General features: G+C 38.6%; 1 protein-coding gene and 1 long non-coding RNA gene across 6 annotated transcripts in view, besides 1 other annotated feature; one reads left to right on the top strand and one right to left on the bottom strand.

Moving 5' to 3' along the window:
* Window positions 1–20,801, top strand: part of KCNMB2-AS1 (KCNMB2 antisense RNA 1) — a 334,939-nt gene that overhangs the window by 162,969 nt on the left and 151,169 nt on the right. The gene's annotated exons all lie outside the window — the stretch shown is intronic.
* The window catches only part of KCNMB2 (potassium calcium-activated channel subfamily M regulatory beta subunit 2), a 307,994-nt gene that overhangs the window by 146,993 nt on the left and 140,200 nt on the right, over window positions 1–20,801 (bottom strand). The window lies entirely within an intron of this gene.
* Window positions 20,103–20,212: an enhancer, noted in NCBI's record as "active region_20854". NCBI's record gives its function as "activates an Ori minimal core promoter by ATAC-STARR-seq in GM12878 lymphoblastoid cells {active_cell/tissue: GM12878}" and the evidence as "EXISTENCE:reporter gene assay evidence [ECO:0000049][PMID:35858748]".

Here is a 20,801-nt window from a genome sequence, read left to right as displayed (position 1 = left end):
AAAAAGCAGGGGTTGCAATTCTAGTTTCTAACAAAATAGGCTTTAGACCAACAAAGATCAAAAAAGACCAAAAAGGGCATTACATAATGGTAAAGGGTTCAATTCAACAAGAAGATCTAACTATCCTAAATATATATGTACCCAACACAGGAGCACTCAGATTCATAAGGCAAATTCTTAGAGACCTTCAAAGAGACTTAGACTTCCACACAATAATAATGGGATACTTTAACATCCCATTGAAAATATTAGACAGATCACTGAGACAGAAAATCAACAAAGGTATTCAGGACCTGAACTCAGCCCTGGATCAAATGGACCTGATAGATATCTACAGAACTCTTCACCCCAAAACAACAGAATATACATTCTTCTTATTACCACATGGCACATACTCTAAAATTGGTCACATTCAGAAGTGAAATACTCCTCAGCAAATGTAGAATAATTGAAATGATAACTAACAATCTCTTGGACCACAGCACAATCAAATTCAAATCAAGACTAAGAAATTCACTCAAAACCATGCAATTACAAGTAAATTGAATGACTTCCTTCTGAATTTCATTGTTTACTATTTGGTAAAAGTAATTTACTTTTTGGTAAATAATATCATTATTTACTTTTGAGAACAAAGATACCACATATCAGAATCTACAGGACACAGCTAAGGTGATGTTAAAAGGGAAATTTATAGAAGAAAATGCACACATCAAAAAGTTAGAAAGATCTCAAGTTAACAACCTAATATCACAACTGAAAGAGCTAGAGAATCAAGTGCAAAGAAATCCAAAAGGTAGCAGAAAATAAGAAATAACAAAAATCAGAACTGAACTGAATAAGATTGAGAAATGAAAATACATTCAAAGTATCAAAGAATCCAGGAGCTGATATTTTGAAAAAAATTTGATAAAATAGACAGACTTCTAGCTAGAATAATAAAGAACAAAAGAGAAAAGATTCAAATAAACACAATCAGAAATGACAAGGCGGATATTACCAGTCACCTCACAGAAATACAAACAACCATCAGAGAATATTATGAACACCTCTATGCACACAATCTAGAAAATCTGGAAGAAATGGGTAAATTCCTGTACACATTCACCTGATATGGTTTGGCTGTGTCCCCACTCAAATCTCATCTTGAATTGTAGTTCCCATGATCCCCACAGGTCATGGGAGGGGCCAGGTGGAGATAATTAAATCATAAGGATGGTTTCCCCCATCCTGTTCTCATGATAGTAAGTTAGTTCTCATGAGCTTTTATGGTTTTATAAGAGGCTTTCCCTTTCACTGGGGACTCATTCTTCTCCTTCCTGCTGCCATATGAAGAAGGACATGTTTACTTCCCCTTCCACCACAATTGTAAGTTTCCTGAGGCCTCCCAGCCAAGCTGAACTGTGAGTCAATTAAACCTCTTATCTTATAAATGACCCAGTCTCAGGTGAGTCTTTGTTAGCAGTGTGAGCATGGACTAATACAGTAAATTGGTGCTGGGAGAATGGGGTGCTGCTATAATGATACCAAAAAATGTGGAAGCAACTTTGGAACTGGGTAACAGGCAGAGGTTGGAACCATTTGGAAGGCTCAGAAGAAGATAGGGAAATGTGGGAAAGTTTGGAACTCCCTAGAGACTTGGAGGGCTCAGAAGACAGGAAGATGTGGGAAAGTTTGGACCTTCCTAGAGACTTATTGAATGGCTTTGACCAAAATGCTGACAACAATATAGACAATGAAATCCAGGCTGAGGTGGTCTCGGATGGAGATGAGGAACTTGTTGGGAACTGGAATAAAGGTGAATCTTGGTATGCTTTAGCAAAGAGACTGGTGGATTTTTTACCCCTGACCTAGAGATCTGTGGAACATTGAATTTATGAGAGATGATTTAGGGTAACTGGAGGAAGAAATTTACAAGCAGCAAGACATTCAAGAGTTGATAGAGCATAAAAGTTTGGAAAATTTGCAGCCTGATGAGGCAGTAGAAAAGAAAACCCACTTCGTGGGGGAGAAAGTCAAGCCTAATGCAGAAATTTGCATAAGTAGCGAGGAGCCAGACACTAATCACCAAGACAATGGGGAAAATGTCTCCAGGATATGTCAGAGACCTTAATGGCAGACCCTTCCATCACAGGCCTGGAGGCCAAGGAGGGAAAAAAGGTTTCCTGAGCTGAGTCCAGGGCCCCCCTGCTCTGTGCCATGGGGACTTGGTTCCCTGTATCCCAGCTGCTCCAGCCATGGCTAAAAGGGGCCAAGGTACAGCTAGGGCTGTAGCTTCAGAGGGTGCAAACCCCAAGCCCTGGCAACTTCCATGTGGTGTTTGTCCTGCAGTGTGTAGCATACAAGAATTGAGGTTTGGGAACCTCTGCCTAGATTTCAGAGGACGTATAGAAATGCCTGGATGCCCAGGCAGAAACCTGCTGCAGGGGTGGAGCCCTCATGGAGAACCTCTGCCAGGTCAGTGCAGAAGGGAAATCTGGGGTTGGAGCCACCACACAGAGTTCCCACTGGGGCACTGCCTGGTGGAGCTGTGAGAATAAGCCCACCATCCTCCAGACCCCAGAATGGTAGATCTACTGACAGCTTGCACCGTACACCTGGAAAAGCCACAGACACTCAACACTAGCCTGTGAAAGCAGCTGGGAGGGGAATTGTACCTTTCAAAGCCACATGGGCAGAACTGTTCAAAACCCTGGGAGCCCACCTCTTGAATCAGCATTACATGGATTTGAGAGATGGAGTTAAAAGAGATCATTTTGGAACTTTAAGGTTAAAAATTACCTTATTGGATTTCAGAATTGCATGGGGCCTGTAGGCCCTTTGTTTTGGCCAATTTCTCCTATTTGGAATGGGTGTACTTACCCAGTGCCTGTACCCCATTTTATCTAGGAAGTAACTAACTTGCTTTTGATTTTACAGGCTCATATACAGAAGGGACTTGCCTGGTCTCAGATGAGACTTTGGACTTGGACTTTTGAGTTAATGCTGGAATGAGTTAAGACTTTGGAGGACTGTTGGAAGGGCATACTTGTGTTTTGAATTATAAGGACAGGAGAATTGGGAGAGGACAGGAGGGGAATAATATGGTTTGACTGTGTCTCCACCCAAATCTCATCTTTAATTGTGGTTCCCATGATCCCCACATGTTATAGGAGGGACTAGGTGGAAATAACTGAATCAGGGGTGCGGTTTCCCCCATTCTGTTCTTGTGATAGTGAGTTAGTTCTCATGAGGTTTTATAAGTGGATTCCAGTCCACTGTCCACTCATTCTTCCTGCTGCCACATGAAGGAGGATATGCTTGCTTCCGCTTCTGCCATGCTTATAAGTTTCGTGAGGCCTCCCCAGCTATGCTGAACTGGGAGTCAAACTTCTTTCCTTTATAAATTACCCAGTGTCGGGTATGTCTTTATTGGCAACATGAGAAGAGACTAATACACACCCTCCCAAGACTGAAACAGGAATGCGTTTAATCCCTGAAAAGACCAATAATGAGCTCTGAAATTGAGGCAGTAATAAATAGTCTACTAACTAAAAAAAAAAAAGAAAAAGAAAAAAAGCCCAGGACCAGATGGATTCACAGCTGAATTTCACCAGATGTACAAAGAAGAGCTGGTACAATTCCTACTGAAACTATTCCAAAATATTGAGGACTAGGGGCTCCTCCCTAACTCATTGTAGGAGGCCAGCATCATCCTTATACCAAATCCTCCCAGAGATACAGAAAAAAAAGCTTCAGGCCAATATTCTTGATGAATATCAATGTAAAAATCCTCAGCAAAATACTGGCAAACAGAATCCATCAGCATATCAACAACTTGTTCACCATGATCAAGTAGGCATTATTTCTGGGATGCAAGGTTGGTTCAACATATACAAATAAATAAATGTGATTCATCACATTAACAGAGCTAAAGACAAAAACCACATAATTATCTCAATATATGTAGAAAATGCTTTCAATAAAATTCAACTTTCATTCATGTTAAAAAGTCCCAATAAACTCGTTATTGAAGGAACATACCTCAAAATTATAAGAGTCATATAAACAAATCCACAGCCAACATCATACTGAATGGGCAAAAGCTGGAAGCATTCCCTTTGACAACTGGCACAAAACAAAGATACCCTTTCTCACTGCTCCTATTCAAAATAGTATTGGACATCCTGGCCAGGACAATCAGGCAAAAGAAAGAAATAAAAGACATCCAAACAGGAAGAGTGGAAGTCAAAATATCCTAATTTGCAGATGACATGATCCTATATCTAGAAAACCCCATAGTCTCAGCCTAAATGCTTCTTAAGCTGATAAACAAGTTCAGCAAAGTCTCAGGATACAAAATCAATGTGCAATAATCATGAGCATTTCTATACACCAGCAACAGTCAAGTCAAGAGCCAAAACAGGAATGTAGCCCCATTCACAATTGCCACAAAAAGAATAAAATGTCTAGGAATACACCTAACTAGGGAGGTGAAAGATCTCTATTAGGAGAACTGCAAAACATGGCTCAAATAAATCAGAGATGACACAAACAAATGGGAAAACATTCCATGCTCGTGGATATGAATAATCAATATCATTAAAATGGCCATAGTGCCCAAAGCAATTTATAAATTCAATGCTATTCTTATTAAACTACTGTTGAGATTCTTCATATAACTAGAAAAATCTATTTTAAACTTTATATAAAACAAAACACAACAAAAGCCCAAACAGCTGACACAATCCTAAGCAAAAGGTATAAAGCCAGAGGCATCACACTACCCAACTTCAAACTATACTACAGAGTTGAAGTAACCAAAACAGCATGGTACTGACACAAAAACAGCCACATAGACCAATGGAGCAGAATAGGGAGCCCAGAAATAAGGCTGCACACCTACAACTATCTTATCTTTGACAAACCTGACAAAAACAAGAAATGGGGAAAGGATTCCCTGTTCAATAAATGGTGCTGGGTTAACTGGCTAGCCAAATGCAGAAGATTGAAATTGGACCCCTTCCTTATACCATATGCAAAAATTAACTCAAGATGGATTAATGACTTAAATATAAAACCCAAAACTATAAAATTCCTTGAAGACAGCCTAGGCAATACCATTCAAAACATAGGCATGGGCAAAGATTTCATGATGAAGATGCTAAAAGCAATTGCAACAAAAGCAAAAATTGACAAATGAGATCTAATTAAATTAAAGAGCTTCTGTACAGCAAAAGAAACTATCATCAGAGTAAACAGACAACCTACAGAATGGGAGAAAAATTTTTGTAAACTATGCATCTGACAAAGGTCTAATATCCAGCATCTCTAAGGAACTTAAACAAATTTACAAGAAAAAAACAACCCCATTAAAAATTGGGCAGACATAGACAGTTTTCAAAAGAAGACATACATGTGGCCAATGAGAATATGAAGAAAAGCTCAACATCATTGACCATTAGAGAAATGAAATCAAAACCACAATGAGATACCATCTCACCCCAGTCAGAATTGCTATTATTAAAAAGTCAAAAAATAACAGGTGCTGGTGAGGTTGTGAAAAAAAATGGAATATTTATAGACTGTTGGTGGGAATGTAAATTAGTTCAACAATTATGGAAGATAGTGTGGCAATTCCTCAAATACCTAAAGACAGAAATACCATTCCACCCAACAATTACTAGGTATATCCCCAAAGGAGTATAAATTGTTCTATTATAAAGACACATGCATGCGTATGTTCATTGCAGCACTATTCACAATAGCAGAGACATGGAATCAACATAAATGCCCACCAATGATAGACTGGATAAATAACATGTGGTACATACACACTATGGAATACTATGCAGCCATAAAAAGAATGAGGTTGTATCCTTTTCAGGGACATGGATGGAGCTGGAGGCCTTTATCCTTAGCAAATGAACACAGGAACAGGAAACCAAATACCACATGTTTTCACTTATTAAGTGGGAGCTAAATAATGAGAACATATGGGCACAGAGATGGGAAAAACACACACTGGGACCCTATTAGAGGTTGGAGGGTGGGAAGAAGCAGATAATTGGGAAAAATAACTAATGGGTACTAAGCTTAATAACTCAGTGATGAAATAAGAAATGCCCATGACACAAGTTTATCTATGTTAAAAAAAAAAAAAACCTGCACATGTACTCCTGAACTTAAAACAAAAGTTAAAAAAAATTAAAAAGCCAGGTGTGGCTCACACCTGTAATCCCAGGACTTTGAGAGGCTGAGGCAGGTGGATCATTTGAGGTCAGGAGTTCAAGACCAGCCTGGGAAACATGGTGAAACCCCGTCTCTATCAAAAAAAAAAAAAAAAAAAAGACTTAATGGGGAATTATGCTGTACACCTGTAGTCCCAGCTACTCGGGAGACTAAGGTGCGAGAATTGCTTGAACTCTGGATGTGGAGGTTGCAGTGAGTTGAGATTACACCACTGCACTCCAGCCTGGGAGGCAGAGTGAGACTCCATCTTAAAAAAATAAAAGATTATAAACATAAAAATACTTTGCAAACTCAAAGGCCTTAATTGACCTATAGATCGCTAGATCACTTGAGTCACTTTTAAAGATGATTCCATAGATTCCCTGCCAAAACGTTTGAAGCAGAAGAACTCTGAGTTTCATTCCAACCTTTAGTACACCATGTCATGATTCAATCTTCCATGAGTGAACTATCCATAGTGCTGAATCTGACTGCATTGATTTAGAAAGGGAAATCTTATTTTATGTGAGTGGTTTGTTATTAATGACTTTGCATAAAACATAATTTAAATAATCCAAGGCTAATTTTCCCAAAGTAGTAAGTGTAAAGAAGAAGAGTGCATGTCAGAGGACAAAAATCTACATCCCCATTGTCTCAGTTCTTCCCTCACTCCCTCCCTCTTTCTCTTCCTTCTTCCTTCTCATTCTCCTCCTCTTCCTCTTATCCCTCTCCTCTTCCTTCAATGATGCTTTTATATATTTTGGTGCAAAATTATTTATTATTTATCACACTTCTCTCCTAAATCAGCAGTTCATTGTTTCATGGCAGTCATCTAGTTCTCTTTAAAGTGTTTTAGCATATCTAACCTTTGTCCCAAAGTTGTTATTTTTGGAGGCTTTTTTTTTTGCCCTAGCACTATGATTTGATGAATAATTAGAAACTTTATTATAGTATATTAAAAGGCTACATACATTCATAATAGTAAGCATCACACTAAAAGTCAAATAGTCACCAGAATTATCTGCCAAAGTTCTGATACATACAATGATAAGATTCACATGATTTTGGCAAAGGATAAGTTATTTTGCCATTTGGTGATGGCATAATACAGTTTATAATTCACTTGGCTTTCTACTTCAGAAATAACACATTTCCTGATTTCTAAAAACACAGATTTTTATTATATAAAATTTTGTGTATACAGTGATTTTAATATATCACACTATTTCAAATTTGCACAATCTAAATTTGCATAAAATGTCAATTACACTACACTTTAAGGTCTCTCTCCTTTCCTTTGTCTGGAGAAGAAAACATAGGTGATGTATTCTCTTTTCCTTTGGTAAGTTTCCACAGTAATATTGTATTGTTTCAGTGGAGATATTGCAGAGTAGTGTATGAACATGTCACTAGAGTGAGAAGACCCAAGTTCAAGCTACAATTTTACTACTCACTCACTTTAAGTCCTATCCATGCAAGGTCTATGTTTTCTTTTCTAGAGAAAGGAAGGGAGAAAGAGGTATTTTCCAGAGTATTTGGGTGTTAAATCAGATCATCTGGATGTCTTTCTTCCATAACTTCTCTTTATTTTGAGACAGAGTCTCGCTCTCTCTCCCAGGCTGGAGTGCAGTGGTGCAATTTCAGCTCACTACAAGCTCCTCCTCCTGGGTTCACGCCATTCTCTTGCCTCAGCCTCCTGAGTAGCTGGGTCTACAGGCGCCCACCACCACGCCCAGCTAACTTTTTTGTATTTTTAGTAGAGACGGGATTTCACCTTGTTAGCCAGGATGGTCTCGATCTCCTGACTTCGTGATCCCCCCATCTCAGCCTCCCAAAGTGCTGGGATTACAGGCATGAACCACTGTGCCCGGCTTATAACTTCTAAGATGCTATACAAATGCAAGGCGGTTCTAGCTGGTAACACCCTTTTTAACAGTACACAAAGTTCCATAAAATGAGATAAAAAATATGGTATTAAAAGTCCAGGATTATAAAGATGCTCATCATTATCAAGTCAATGTACATTTTTTTAACTAACATTTTTTTGAGGAGAGAATGACACAAATCCACTATAACAATAGAAATTTGCATTATAATAAACAACAATATTTTCTTTAGACTCAAGATTTTCTGAATGCTAACTTTGTTTAAAATTTTGTAATACACAGCAATTTTCTCTAAAGACTGATTTGACTTAAGCCAAAACTGATGATAAGTTTAGTTTCTTTTCTCTTTTCTCTATTTCTTATAGTTTTAATTCCCAAAGAGTATTTTTTATGTATAAATACTTACTGAAACACTTGCTGTTCAAATAAAAATAAATACTGATAACAAAGCTGGTACATATAGATATTCAAATTATTTGATAGAAATATGAGAACGTTTACCACCTTTAGTTAAGTCTGTCTTTCTTTGCCTCATGTTCAATAACTTTCTTTTGGCCCTTCCACAAAAATTAAAGCCTATGCAAATATAAATAAATACGAAGTTCACAAAAACTTTAAATTTGAGCTAGAAACTCAATGGTTAAAAAAAAAGCAAACACTAGATAGTCTATCTTTAGGGTTTTCTTTTTGTTTGCTTGTCCTTTCATTTTTCCTGAAATTGCAGATTGGACAAAACCATTTCAGGCCTCTGGGATATGTATCTTCCATCTATAATAGAACAAATTACAAGTGAAAAAGCATTGTTATGGAGTCTTCAGCTTAAAGTTGGCATATTTATTTGTTATGTGCTGCACAATTTCTATTCCTTGGTCTCTTCCCATTATAAATTCATCATTATACTTGTTTTTTAATTAAAAAGGTAGTTATTTATTGTGTCCCCATTTAATTTAGAACCTGAGGTATCATATCATTAAATCAATAAGATTTGATGACAAATTTTATAAAGTTGCCAGAAAAATATGACCATAAACTTGATTTTAAAATTCAGGCTACAACTGCTATCACTAGCTTTATTTTTTCTAGTGATGAAGTAGCAAAATTTGCCATAACATTAAACCTCAATTATTATCCTATAAAATATTTTTCACCTGAGCACTCAGAATCTCATTAGTTTCTTTATCTTTTCAAATCAGCAAGTTCTGAAAATTCTTATTTGAAATGCAAAAGCAAAAGGGAGGGTTGTCAGCAGCCCACTTAATCCTTGATTCTCAATTTTTCTCACCCCAAACCTAACCTCTTTCCTCCTCCTGTATTCCATTAATAATTTCAGGAATATTTCCCAAACTTTCATTGATTGAGTTACCTTAGTAACAGTGGACCCAAAGTTTCTGGTAAGAAGGTTTCAATTTTGTCAGGCAAAGATATTTTTCCTTTCAGTTACATTCATTTGTAGTTTCACCTTTTGGAAGAAAGCCTATTTAAAAATAAGTAGTTTGCAGAAATATTCTATTTCCAAAGAGTTTTGAATTTTTTTCTTTCTTTTCCTTTACTCAAATTTTTGAAGGTATTTTCCAAGAAAAAAAATAATGAAAGTACTAAAAGTGTCAAAATTAGAGTATTTTCCTAGTACTTTCTCTTGGCTGCTCATGAACAAAAGCAGCAGTCATAAAAATAAATAATAAAAATTGAGGTTCTGCATTCAAACTTTATTTTACAAAGCCCTGGTTACCTCCACAATTTTGAAACTCTGTCTCTGCCCTACCGTGCTGTTTGCGTATCATTCTCCAGTTGTTTTATTCACTTGATTCCTGAGCATTATGTTAATTCCCATAAGCAGCACAGTTCAGCATTCAACTGGATATGTTTTTCTCATGCTATCTTTGCAAAAGTCTTTGTTTAAAAGCTACTTCATTCCCATCAGGCAGCAAGGTAGAAACTCCAGACCCATAAGTACACTGAAGCATATTACAAAAATATGATGAGACTCAATGAGGAAACTTGGATATAAATATTAATCTTCCTTTTATCAGGATAGGAACCAAAAAGTCTGATCTGACTTTTTGAATTGTTCATGCAGTTCATTCCAGTCATGTGAAAGTAAATCAGGGTCAGCTTTTTTTTAAATGGCACTGCCTTTATTTTGGAAAATGTCATGGCTGCAGCCAGAGATATAGTTTTCTTAGTTCCTATTTCTAAGAGCATCCTCATATGGATTCCCGGATGGAAATGCAAAATGGCTTTGTTATCCTTAGCCACCCCTACTGGGCCACTTTGTCCTTGGATGGTATTTGTTTTTCTAAATCAAGCATGCTCAAGAGAAATTTCCAGTCCATCTAAACCTATTCATAGATTCAATATAGAGATACTTGCTAATTTGCTTTCATGGTTAAAAAGATAAATAAAAGCTGTCTGCACTTCTTGCCAGTAGAAATTCATAATCTACAGTTGGTTGGAACATGATTTGTTCTTTTTTTAAATGTAAGGTTTCCTGAATTAAGTAGAGACAGTTTGTCCAGATACCACTCTCTGATTCATCAGGGAGTCTCTGTGGTAACTACATTTTCCTCTTTGATTATTTGGGTGTCGCGAAAGTTTTTTAAATTGTAAATGAAGTAACTAAAAGTTGTACACCATATACAGACATGGACTTAGGTGCATACATACACAAAGAGGTGTTACTTGATGGGATTTAGGACATGGTATCCCCAAATAGGACACCTTGGAATTTGAGAGAACAGCAAAAGCAGGAAGGTCACTCTCACCTTCCCTCCTCCCTTGAAGCAGGTAATAAAACTTAGGAAGAATTTTTCTGGCCCGAAGCAGGTTATAAGGCCCTCATTTGAGAGGTGCCCTTCCCATACTCAGAAGAAAAGAACGTCTTTACCTCTAAAGACACAGGGCACAGAGAGGAATTGGAATAAACAGGTCTTACTAAATTCCTTCCAGTTTATTACCAATAGATCACTTTTAAAGAAAATTAAATCATATTTCTTCATGACTACCAACTTTATCACCAAACCTAGTATGGAAAATGCACAGGTTTATCCATTTCTTTGGGTCTTTATTTCTTTATGAAGTCTCCCATGCCACGTAGAACTTTATTAAATAAATGTGTATGCTTTTCTCTTGTTAATCTGTCTTTTGTTATAGGGGCTCAGCCTATAGAGGCCTCAGCCATCAATGTAGAATGGGTGAGAAAAACATATTTCTCATCCTATCTATACTAAAAAGTGAGTTTACTATTTGCAAAAGTATGGGACCATCAAGGTTTATTATCTCTCTCTCTCTCTCTCTCACACACACACAATAAAATCAGTTATGAAAGAATACTAGAGTTTCTAAAAAGTATTTCATAATGATGTTATTAAGACCATGATTTGTGGTAGTCAGTGCTTTTTCCTGAAGCCTGGAGGACTTTTTACTTTGACTAACCAGAATTTGCAACTTGAGTGCCTCTTACCTCTATTTTTAAAAAGCAAAAAATAACTTACTTAGAAGGTATTAACTGAACTATTAAATATTTTATTGGGTTTTCTTCTGGTTTCTATCTATCAATGCTTATTCCTTCAGAATGATACTGTTTAAAAAGAAAGCACTGCTAGGCTGTGGGAACGTTATTGATTAACTTCGTGGTGAGGAAATAACAACTGCTCAGGTTTGGACTTAATAATTTCCTAACAAAAAGCTTCCCACGTGCATAGCCCTTCAAGGCAATAGGATGATGTTATATAAAAACAAGGTGACTAAAGTATTAAGTATCAATTCCTAAATATAAAAACAGAACCACTGTTGATGTGGCTGATGGATTTGGCAAGAATAAGCAATAGCCACCTTGGTCTCTGGCTGCCTTTGGATGGCACTAACACCCACAGGCCAACATGTAGTTGTAACCACATGCCTTAATGTTATAAGACAACAGAAACCTCAAGGTATCTATGAAAGATCTTATCAAAAAGCAAAGATGCTATCAAAAGGCATTCTCAAGTGTGGATTCCTTGGACTAAACTAGATTATTATTATTGATGGTTATGGCCTATTCCAGGAGCTTTTAAAATACTGATAGCTACTGGTCCCAGCCCCACCTTCACCCCTATTTATCAAGGAAACCTAATGGCAGAGCCTAGGCATGAACATAAAGCCAGGCCTGCCTCACTTCAGAGCCCTTGCTTGTCACCAGATCAGTTTTTACCTTGTAATCAATAGATCTCTCTTCTCAGTTTGTGGCCTCTCACCCAGGTGGAGTTGGGTAGGCATGGTCCCCAGAGGAGCTGTCCAACACTCAAGGTTCTGAAGTAGCAGAGTAGAAGAGGAAGGAGGGAGGGCTTTCCAAACAGATAAAAGATGTATGCATTTCTTTAGGTAAGAAAGGGAAAACTTCACAGATGCGTGCTTTTAAAATAAATTTTACTGTGTATGTTTAAGGTATACAAAATGATGTTATGGAATATATGGAGATAGTAAAAAGGTTGCTATAATGAAGCAAAATAACACACTATTTATTTATTTTTTGAGACGGAGTTTCGCTCTTGTTGCACAGGCTGGAGTGCAATGGCGCGATCTCGGCTCACCGCAACCTCCACCTCCCAGGTTCAAGCCATTCTCCTTCCTCAGCCTCCCGAGTAGTTGGGATTACAGGCATGCACCACCACACCCAGCTAACTTTTTTTGTATTTTTAGTAGAGACGGGGTTTCTCCATGTTGGTCAGGCTGGTCACGAACTCCCGACCTCAGGTGATCTGCCCGCCTCGGACTCCCAAAGTGCTTGGATTACAGGTGTGAGCCACCACGCCTGGCCACATACCCATTATCTCAAATAATTACCCATTTTTTTTGTTTTTGTTTTTGTGGCAAATGCAGCTAAAATCTACTTATTTGGCACAAATCCCATACCTATATTACCTATAGTGCTCATGTTTTACATTAGATCTCTAGACTTGTTCATCCTGCATATGTGCTATTTTGTATACTCCAATCTACATCTCCCCATTTCCTCTCCCACCCCCCACCCTGGCAACCACTGTTTTGTTCTCTATCTCTCTATATTTGAGATTTTAAAGATTCCACATATAACTGAGATTATGCAATTTTTTTCTGTGTTTGGCTTATTTCACTTAGCATAACGTCCTCCAGACTTATCCATGTGGTGGCAAATGGCAATATCTCATTTTTTAGGAATAAATAAGTTTTCATTGTATATATATAGAACAGTTTCTTTATCCATTCATCTGGTGATGGACACTCAGGTTGTGTCCATATCCTGGCTACTGTGAATAATGCTGCAGTGAATATGTGAGTGCAGATACAAAGTGGTGATCCTTTCCTCTGGGCTTTCACTGTAAGTATAGCAGTGAGTATCTCCACTTCTCATTTACTCTGAGTATTTGACCAGAAGAGGGGTTGTTGGATCATGGGGTAGTTCTATTTTTTGTTTCTTTAGAAACCTCCATACTGTTCTTCATAATGGCTGCACCTATCTACATTCCTACCAACAAGATACAAGCATTCCCTTTTCTCCACACCTTTGCCAATATTTACCTTTTGACTTTTTGATAATAACCAGGCAGATGAGTGTTTTGATAAGCATTTGACAAGCCTGGAAAATCAGAACCATTAGCAAACAGGAGCAGTTGATGAGTGAAGGTTAAACTGAGGGTTGGGCTGCATTGTCTGATGCAATAACGACTAGGTACATATGGCCACTGAGCACTTGAGATGTAGCTAGTGTGAACTGAGATGTGCTATAAGTATAAAACACACATCTGAATGTGAAGACTTAGCATAAAAAGAATGTAAAATATCTAATTAGTAATTTCTATGTGATTACATGTTAAAATGATAATTTTCATGTATTTATTCAACTTTTATCCTAGATTCAGTGGGTACATGTGCAGATTAGTTATCTGGATATATTGCATGATGCTGAGGTTTGGAATATGAATGATCCTGTCACATAGGTACTGAGCATAGTGCCCAACAGTTAGTTTTTTTGAGACTTGTCTCCCTCCCCTCTCTGTGCCATCTAGTAGTCCCCAGTCTTTATTGCTGCCATTTTTATGTCCTCAAGTATCTAATGTTTAGTTTCCACTTACAACTGAGAACATGCGGTATTTGGTTTTCTGTTTCTGCATTAATTTTCTAAGGATAATGGTCTCTAGCTGCATTCATGTTGCTGCAAAGAACACGATTTCATTCTTTTTTATGGTTGCGTAGTATTCCATGGTGTATATGTACCATCTACTGTTGATGGGTACCATGGTTGATTCCATGTCTTTGCCATGGTGAATAGTGTTGCAATGAATGCGCAAGTGGATGTGTCTTTTTGGTAGATTTATTTTCTTTTGAATACATACCTGATAATGAGATCACTGTGTTGATAATGAGATCACTTTCTACAGTGGCTGAACAAATTTACATTCCCACCAACAGTGTATAGGCATTTCCTTTTCTCCATAGCCTTGCCAACATCTGTTTTTTTTTCTTTTTTGACTTTTTAGTAATAGCCATTTTGACTGATGTGAGATGGTATCTCATTGTGGTTTTGATTTGCATTTCCCTGATGATTAGTGATGTGGAACATTTTTTCATATGTTTGTTGGCTACTTGTATGCTTTCTTTTAAGAAGTGTCTGTTCTTATCTTTTGCCCATTTTTAATAGGGTTTTTTTTGCTTGTTCAATTGTTTAAGTTTCTTATAGAAAATTATAATATTTTAGATATATTGAATTAAATCATCAAAATTAATTAGCCATTTATTTTCACTTTGCTTTAATGTAGATATTAGGTGATTTTAAAATTACATATACAAGTCACATTTGTGGCATGCATCAAATTTCTATTGGACAGTGTTGACTTAGAACTTGAAAGGAATATTGCTTAGGAGATGCTGAATAGAAGATTTGAGTAAATAGGTGACAAAATCAACATTATACTTGAGGATTATGTTCTTGTGATTGTGGCAGCTTAGAAAAATTTGCAAGGAGAAGACAGCAGTTGGAGGGAAGAGATGACCAACAGCAATTATTGTGTAGTGACTATGTGCCTGGCACACTGGTCCACTATCTCTCTTTATCTCCACAACAACCTTGGTATGTAAGTATTCCTTGTATTTCACAGATGAAAAACTGACATTTAGCAATAGTAAGTAACATTTCCCAAATTACTTAACCTACTGAAATAAGATTGCAGGTTCAAACTCATGTATACTCCATGTCCTTCCACTTGACCAGGGAAGTGGAGAAGAATGGCAGGGGTACTGGGGACTTACCTATGGGGATGGGGAACATTTAGAAAACTGTAACACAAAAATTAGCAGGCTTTGAGAAAAAATGAGTGCAAACAGTTAAGAAAGAAGATATTTAAACAAACCTTAGGACCAAAAGCCTTGGGGATACTGAGAGTGGTGAGAAAAGTTTTAAGTCTCAAGTTGAGGGTTATGCTGATGAAATAGCACTGCTCTCCCCGCAGACCATTCCATAAGTCCACTATAATAATGTACATTTAGTGGACTCCCACTGTATGCAAGATAGTGCCAGGCAGGATGGTAGGGGGAAAAAAGAAACACAAAATACATTTTCTAGTTCTTTGTCTACTTGAGAAGACAAGAAGTATGCCTCTGAATCCATTGAGTGGCAACAAAGCTTCAGGTAGTCGATATGACAGTATCCGGCTACGTATTTGTCTAAGGACCTTTGGATAACTAGCAGTAGGACCTTGGACAAATTACTTAACCCTTCTAATGTTCAGTTTTCTTATCTGTAAACTTGACATAACATTATCTTGCCCACCTTTCATGGTTGTTGTAAGAACCAAAGTCTAAATGAAACAATGTGTATTAATATGCCTTGTGAATTATGAAGTGCCATACCTGACTTGAAAACTCATTTATTAGATGTTATTAACCTAGGCAGATATAGGCCCATTGTTTTTTGGGGGGCCATTAATAAATCCACAGATGTTGTCAGGCTTCTAACTCATTCCCAAAAGCACCTGAATGTGAATTAGCTATTACAAATTATTGAGCACATAACTAATTCTCACTGCTTACAACAATCCTGTAAAGTTGGTATTGTTATACTATTTGGCTAACAAGAAAACTGCAGCTCCAGGTTTCAGTGACTCTAATTAGTAAGTGTGAGATGATGATCTGAAATCTATGCTCTCTGACACAGGTTCTGTGTTCTGGCCTCTGACTCCCAGAGTCTGATTCTCTGAGTCTGGAGTATCTGTATATCTGTTAAAATTTTTCAGTGATTTTAATAGGCAGCTAAGCTAAGGAATCACTGCTCTAGCAAGCTCTTGGTGACAGGAGTTGTCTTGTGAGGCAACTCAGAGCTCTGACTGTGAGAAAAGTCACAATCTGCCTCCTGGAGCTTCTACTGATTGGCCCCAATCCTATCCTGCAGGGACACAGAGGTAGCCTGAAAAGCTTTCAATGACAGTCCTTCAGGCACTTATCTTCAGGGGCATCTGTTTAGGGAATCTGGGGGCCCCGTTCCTAAGAGTCATATTCTACTAGTCTTTAGACTCCAAGTCTAAAATTTCTTTACTGGGATACATTTTGCTGAGAGAAGATAGGAAGACAAAATTTAGAAAATGAGTCACACTGAGCAAGGTTGTTGAATGAGGAGTGAGCAAAACCAGGAGAGCGTGGTGTCCCTTGTGTACACCTAGACTAGATCTGTACAGTTGCCAGCAGAGAGCTCTGATGGAGGATATCAGAGACATGACCTCAGTAGCTTCAAAAGCCAAGAAGGAAAATGAGAAATTCCTCACATTGGAGTTGGGTTATAATATTTCTTTTTTCAGTAAAATGTAATATAAAGAGTTTTAGCTGTGTCTTGATTTTCCTGCATTTTCATTTCCCAAAATAATGAAACAAAAATCTTTGGAAATAAAGAAAAAAAAGGTTTGGATAAAGAATAGCCCAGGTGAGTGACAACCAGCCTCCAGATAGCACAGGTAGGTGTTGTAGAAGCTGTAAGTGTAGCTGGAGCACATGGAAAAAGTGTGCTTCTAGCCGGACAGGCCCTGAAGAGACCTCTGGGCCTCCCTAGGCAGGTGCTGGTAGAGTCAGATTAAAGGAAAAGGCACAGTCCTTCTGCATTCCCCAGCTCTTCCTCACCTTATCTCTCTCCCACAGGCTTTGCAGTAACTTTACTGGGATTAGGGAAGACGTGTGCAGTCTCATTCAAGAAGAAAAGAAAGTGGGGAGCAGAAACAATCAGCTGCTAATTTATGCGCAGAGGGGTGCTCCAGAGCTCCTTGGGGTCTCCAGAAAGTTGTCCACTAACAACCCTGGAGTCTGGGGCCGATTCTTCCCCACTGTCACCTGCCAAGGTCAGACTCTATGCTGTCCTCCAACTGCTTGGGGGAAAAGCTCTGAAATGTATCTTTAGGAGACATTTCTGAGGACAGAGCACTTTGTGAATGGGGGCATTTTCACTCACCCTCTTTCAAATCCTTGTTGGAAAAAATAAGGGAAATATATACAAAAATCAAATGATAGGCACTCTGGAATGGTGAGGCTTTATTGCACTAGGGAGTTTTTAAATTTAATGTCTCTGTTAATTCTTTCCAGGCCTTTGGGCATCTTTATTTTAACCAACACCACCAGAGGTCAAAGGGGACAGGGCAAGTGGACATGAACTTGGGTGTAACTTCTCTTTGTTTCCAAAGATCCTTGAAATGTGCATGTGGCCCCTACTGCCATACCTAAGACCTTCCTTGAACCTAATCTTCACTACCAGCTCTTCTTTTGCAGATCTAAATCAGCATGTCACTCTGAGCTTTGTGTAGAATCATGTATGTACATGTGCAAGCCCCAACAGACAGTTGGAAAGCTCTGAGAGGAAAACTTGGATGTATGAAATACCTACTAAAAATCAGGCTTTGTGCTAAAGATTTTAATACGCATTCATTCATTCCACTGATACAAATAGAGCCCATAGGCTGGGTATGGTGGCATGCACCTGTAGTCCCAGCTACTCAGAAGGCTGAGGCAGGATGATCACTTGAGCCCAGGAGTTCCAGGCTGCAGTGAACCATGAGTGCACCACTGTACTCCAGCCTGGGTGACAGACCAAGAGCCTATCTCTAAAAAGAAAAAATAAAGGAGAAATTGAGAATTGAGCCCTTAGTTAATATCACATTAGTGATTAATGTTAATGTAGTGTATATCTTTTGGGAGACCCAGTCAACAAATAAAAAAACTGATAAATATACATATGTAACTAACCTGCACAATGTGCACATGTACCCTAAAACTTAAAGTATAATAAAAAAAACAAAAACAAAACAAAAAACAAACAAACAAAAAAAAACTGATAAATGAACAACAATGACAACAACAACAACAAACCAATTATAGCAATAATTAAATGTTAAGAAGGGTACGAATAGAGTGCTGTGAAAGAGAATAACAGAAGGATTTATTTTAGAAAGAAGATCAGGAAAGGTCTATGGATCTCTTTTACATTGAGCCCGGTAATGTGATGAGAAAGCCATAACCATGCTAGTGACTGGGGGAAGCCTGCAGCCCACAGAATACTACATGCTCCCCACGTTATTCTAGGACATGTTGGTCTCCCCTTCACCACTCACTGGCATGCTTTGCCCATTGAATACAGAAAATGTTTCCATATCTTTCTGTTCTTTCTCTTTTGGATACAGCAGCATCCCCAATAGGTGAAGTCATCTGAGTTTTCATGTGCTGGTGGTTCTCAGTGTTCTGGGTACTGGACTATGTCGGAAATGAGGTTATCAGTCTACAAAAATGTGTTCCAAGGCAACTCCAGTTTGATCAGCCATTCACATAAGGCTGAAGATAAACAAATCAAGTTCTGCTATGCTTGAATTTTACTGCCAGTTTTCCTGTCTTCTATCTTCCTCTTATTTTTATGTCTCTTTGGCTAATTTCTTATATACCTGTGTAAAATAAAAATAAAGTCCCTTAGGCCCACAGGCAAGAGGGAATGGGCTCTTTGTGGCAATAAGATTCCAAATTATAAATGGGATCTGAGGCCATGTCAGGCAAGGGTTAATTCATGCACCACCCCCTTCCCCCTCACTTAAAGAATAAACTATGTTCTAACTGCCACAGTTTCCATTTTTGTTTTTTCCTCTAACAGCTAAGGAAGCACTGGTCTCAAGATAAAAAATGTTAAAACAATTGCAGCTCACTGACCCCTGACACTGACTAGCTCACCCTCCTGTTCCATAAGCCATAACTCCCATTTTGATTGGACAAGAGACTGATTTCAGCAACCTTCTCCTAATTAGAGACCACTGGTGATGAACTAGTTCTGGCCCGTTTATAGAGGTTGTGAACTGGGAGCCTTCGTGTCCTTCTTTTATCTTTTGACCTATACAGGCTAATTATAATGCATTTAAATGCGAAGTCTCTACCCCAAAGTGAGCATGGGTCATATGTAACATACATGATCATTTAGTATGTGTGCATTAGGACCCCCTTCCTGAATATTCATAGCTCCTCCAATAACCTGTTGAATATGCATACTTGACCAACCTGTTCAGTATAAATTCCTGTCCCATCCTTCTCCCCCTTGAAGGGCTTGCTTGCTTTCTCTGTTAGAGGCTATGCTTCCCAGCCTATCAAAATGATCACCTCTCAGGGTGTAATCCTCATTAAGAAATAAAGCTTGCTCTCTGAATTTGTGAAAACCTCGTGATTTTTGAGTTGACATCTGGTTCTCTTTACATGGTGCACAGACGACAGGCCAGGGGTTTTAGGAGGAGGCTGGGAAGTGAAACACATGTTCCTGGTGGGAAGACAAAACAAATGAGCTGAGGGCAGCAGGGGAAGGTGGCTGGATACTGAGCTTCATCTGGGCCAGCACAGAGGGCTGACGATGAAGAGAGCTGTCTGCGTCAGGTGGGGACTTCCCACGTGCCCAGGCTTATCTGTGTGAGTCCCTCCTCATGTCTTCTTGTCTCTTGTCCTTTACATGACCCATATTCATCATTTCTTTGGTTGTTCACAGTCTAAAATTGTCCTCCATGTACATACCCTCCTTATGGTGTCTGGTGTTTTCGTTAGGAAAAGAGATATAAATATGTAGAGGTTAGGAGGAAATCTCTGAGTCAGGAAGCCCTCTGTCAACTGAGGTCAGCGTGGGGAGTTTGATGTTCCACTCCCAGAGTTGTGGCAAGTGCTTTTGTTTTAGCTGGTTTTACTTATATTAACTGAGGCAAAGTTTACACCATGAGGAAATGAAAGTTGGGCTGAAGAAGACTTTGCTTCAATTGCAGGTGGAGTCATTCTCTCTTTCGCTGTGGTGAGGCGAGCAGGGCCCAGAATAGGGACCACTGGCTCTGGGCTCTGACTGCTGTTTGAGGTTGGCCACTCCTATGGCCTAGGGTGGTCTGTTCACCTTCTCCCAGGCTCCATTTCCTCATCTGACACGGGGATTAGGCCTTCCACACTCTAGTGAGGGCTCAGTGAGGTAATGCAGCAGAAAGCGTTTCGTAACGTTAAAATGCTAAACAAATGGAAGGGTTTGTCTCTCCCTAGTATGGAAAGGTCAGGAATAAGTGAGTGTCAGGCAAAACATGAGAAAGTTGTGTAGCATGCAAGTATATTGACTCTGCTACCTAAAGTCCGTGTGCCAGGCTATAAAGACTACTGTAAGGACATTTGCTGTGAGAGGTTACTTTACCTCCAAGTGGCTTATTTTCTGCCTCTTTATGG

The sequence above is a fragment of the Homo sapiens genome, chromosome 3 (genome assembly GCF_000001405.40).
Source record: "Homo sapiens chromosome 3, GRCh38.p14 Primary Assembly".
In the NCBI taxonomy this organism is placed as follows: Eukaryota; Metazoa; Chordata; class Mammalia; order Primates; family Hominidae; genus Homo; species Homo sapiens.
Note: the sequence above shows the minus strand (reverse complement) of the source record. Positions and strands in the feature narration are given on the sequence as shown.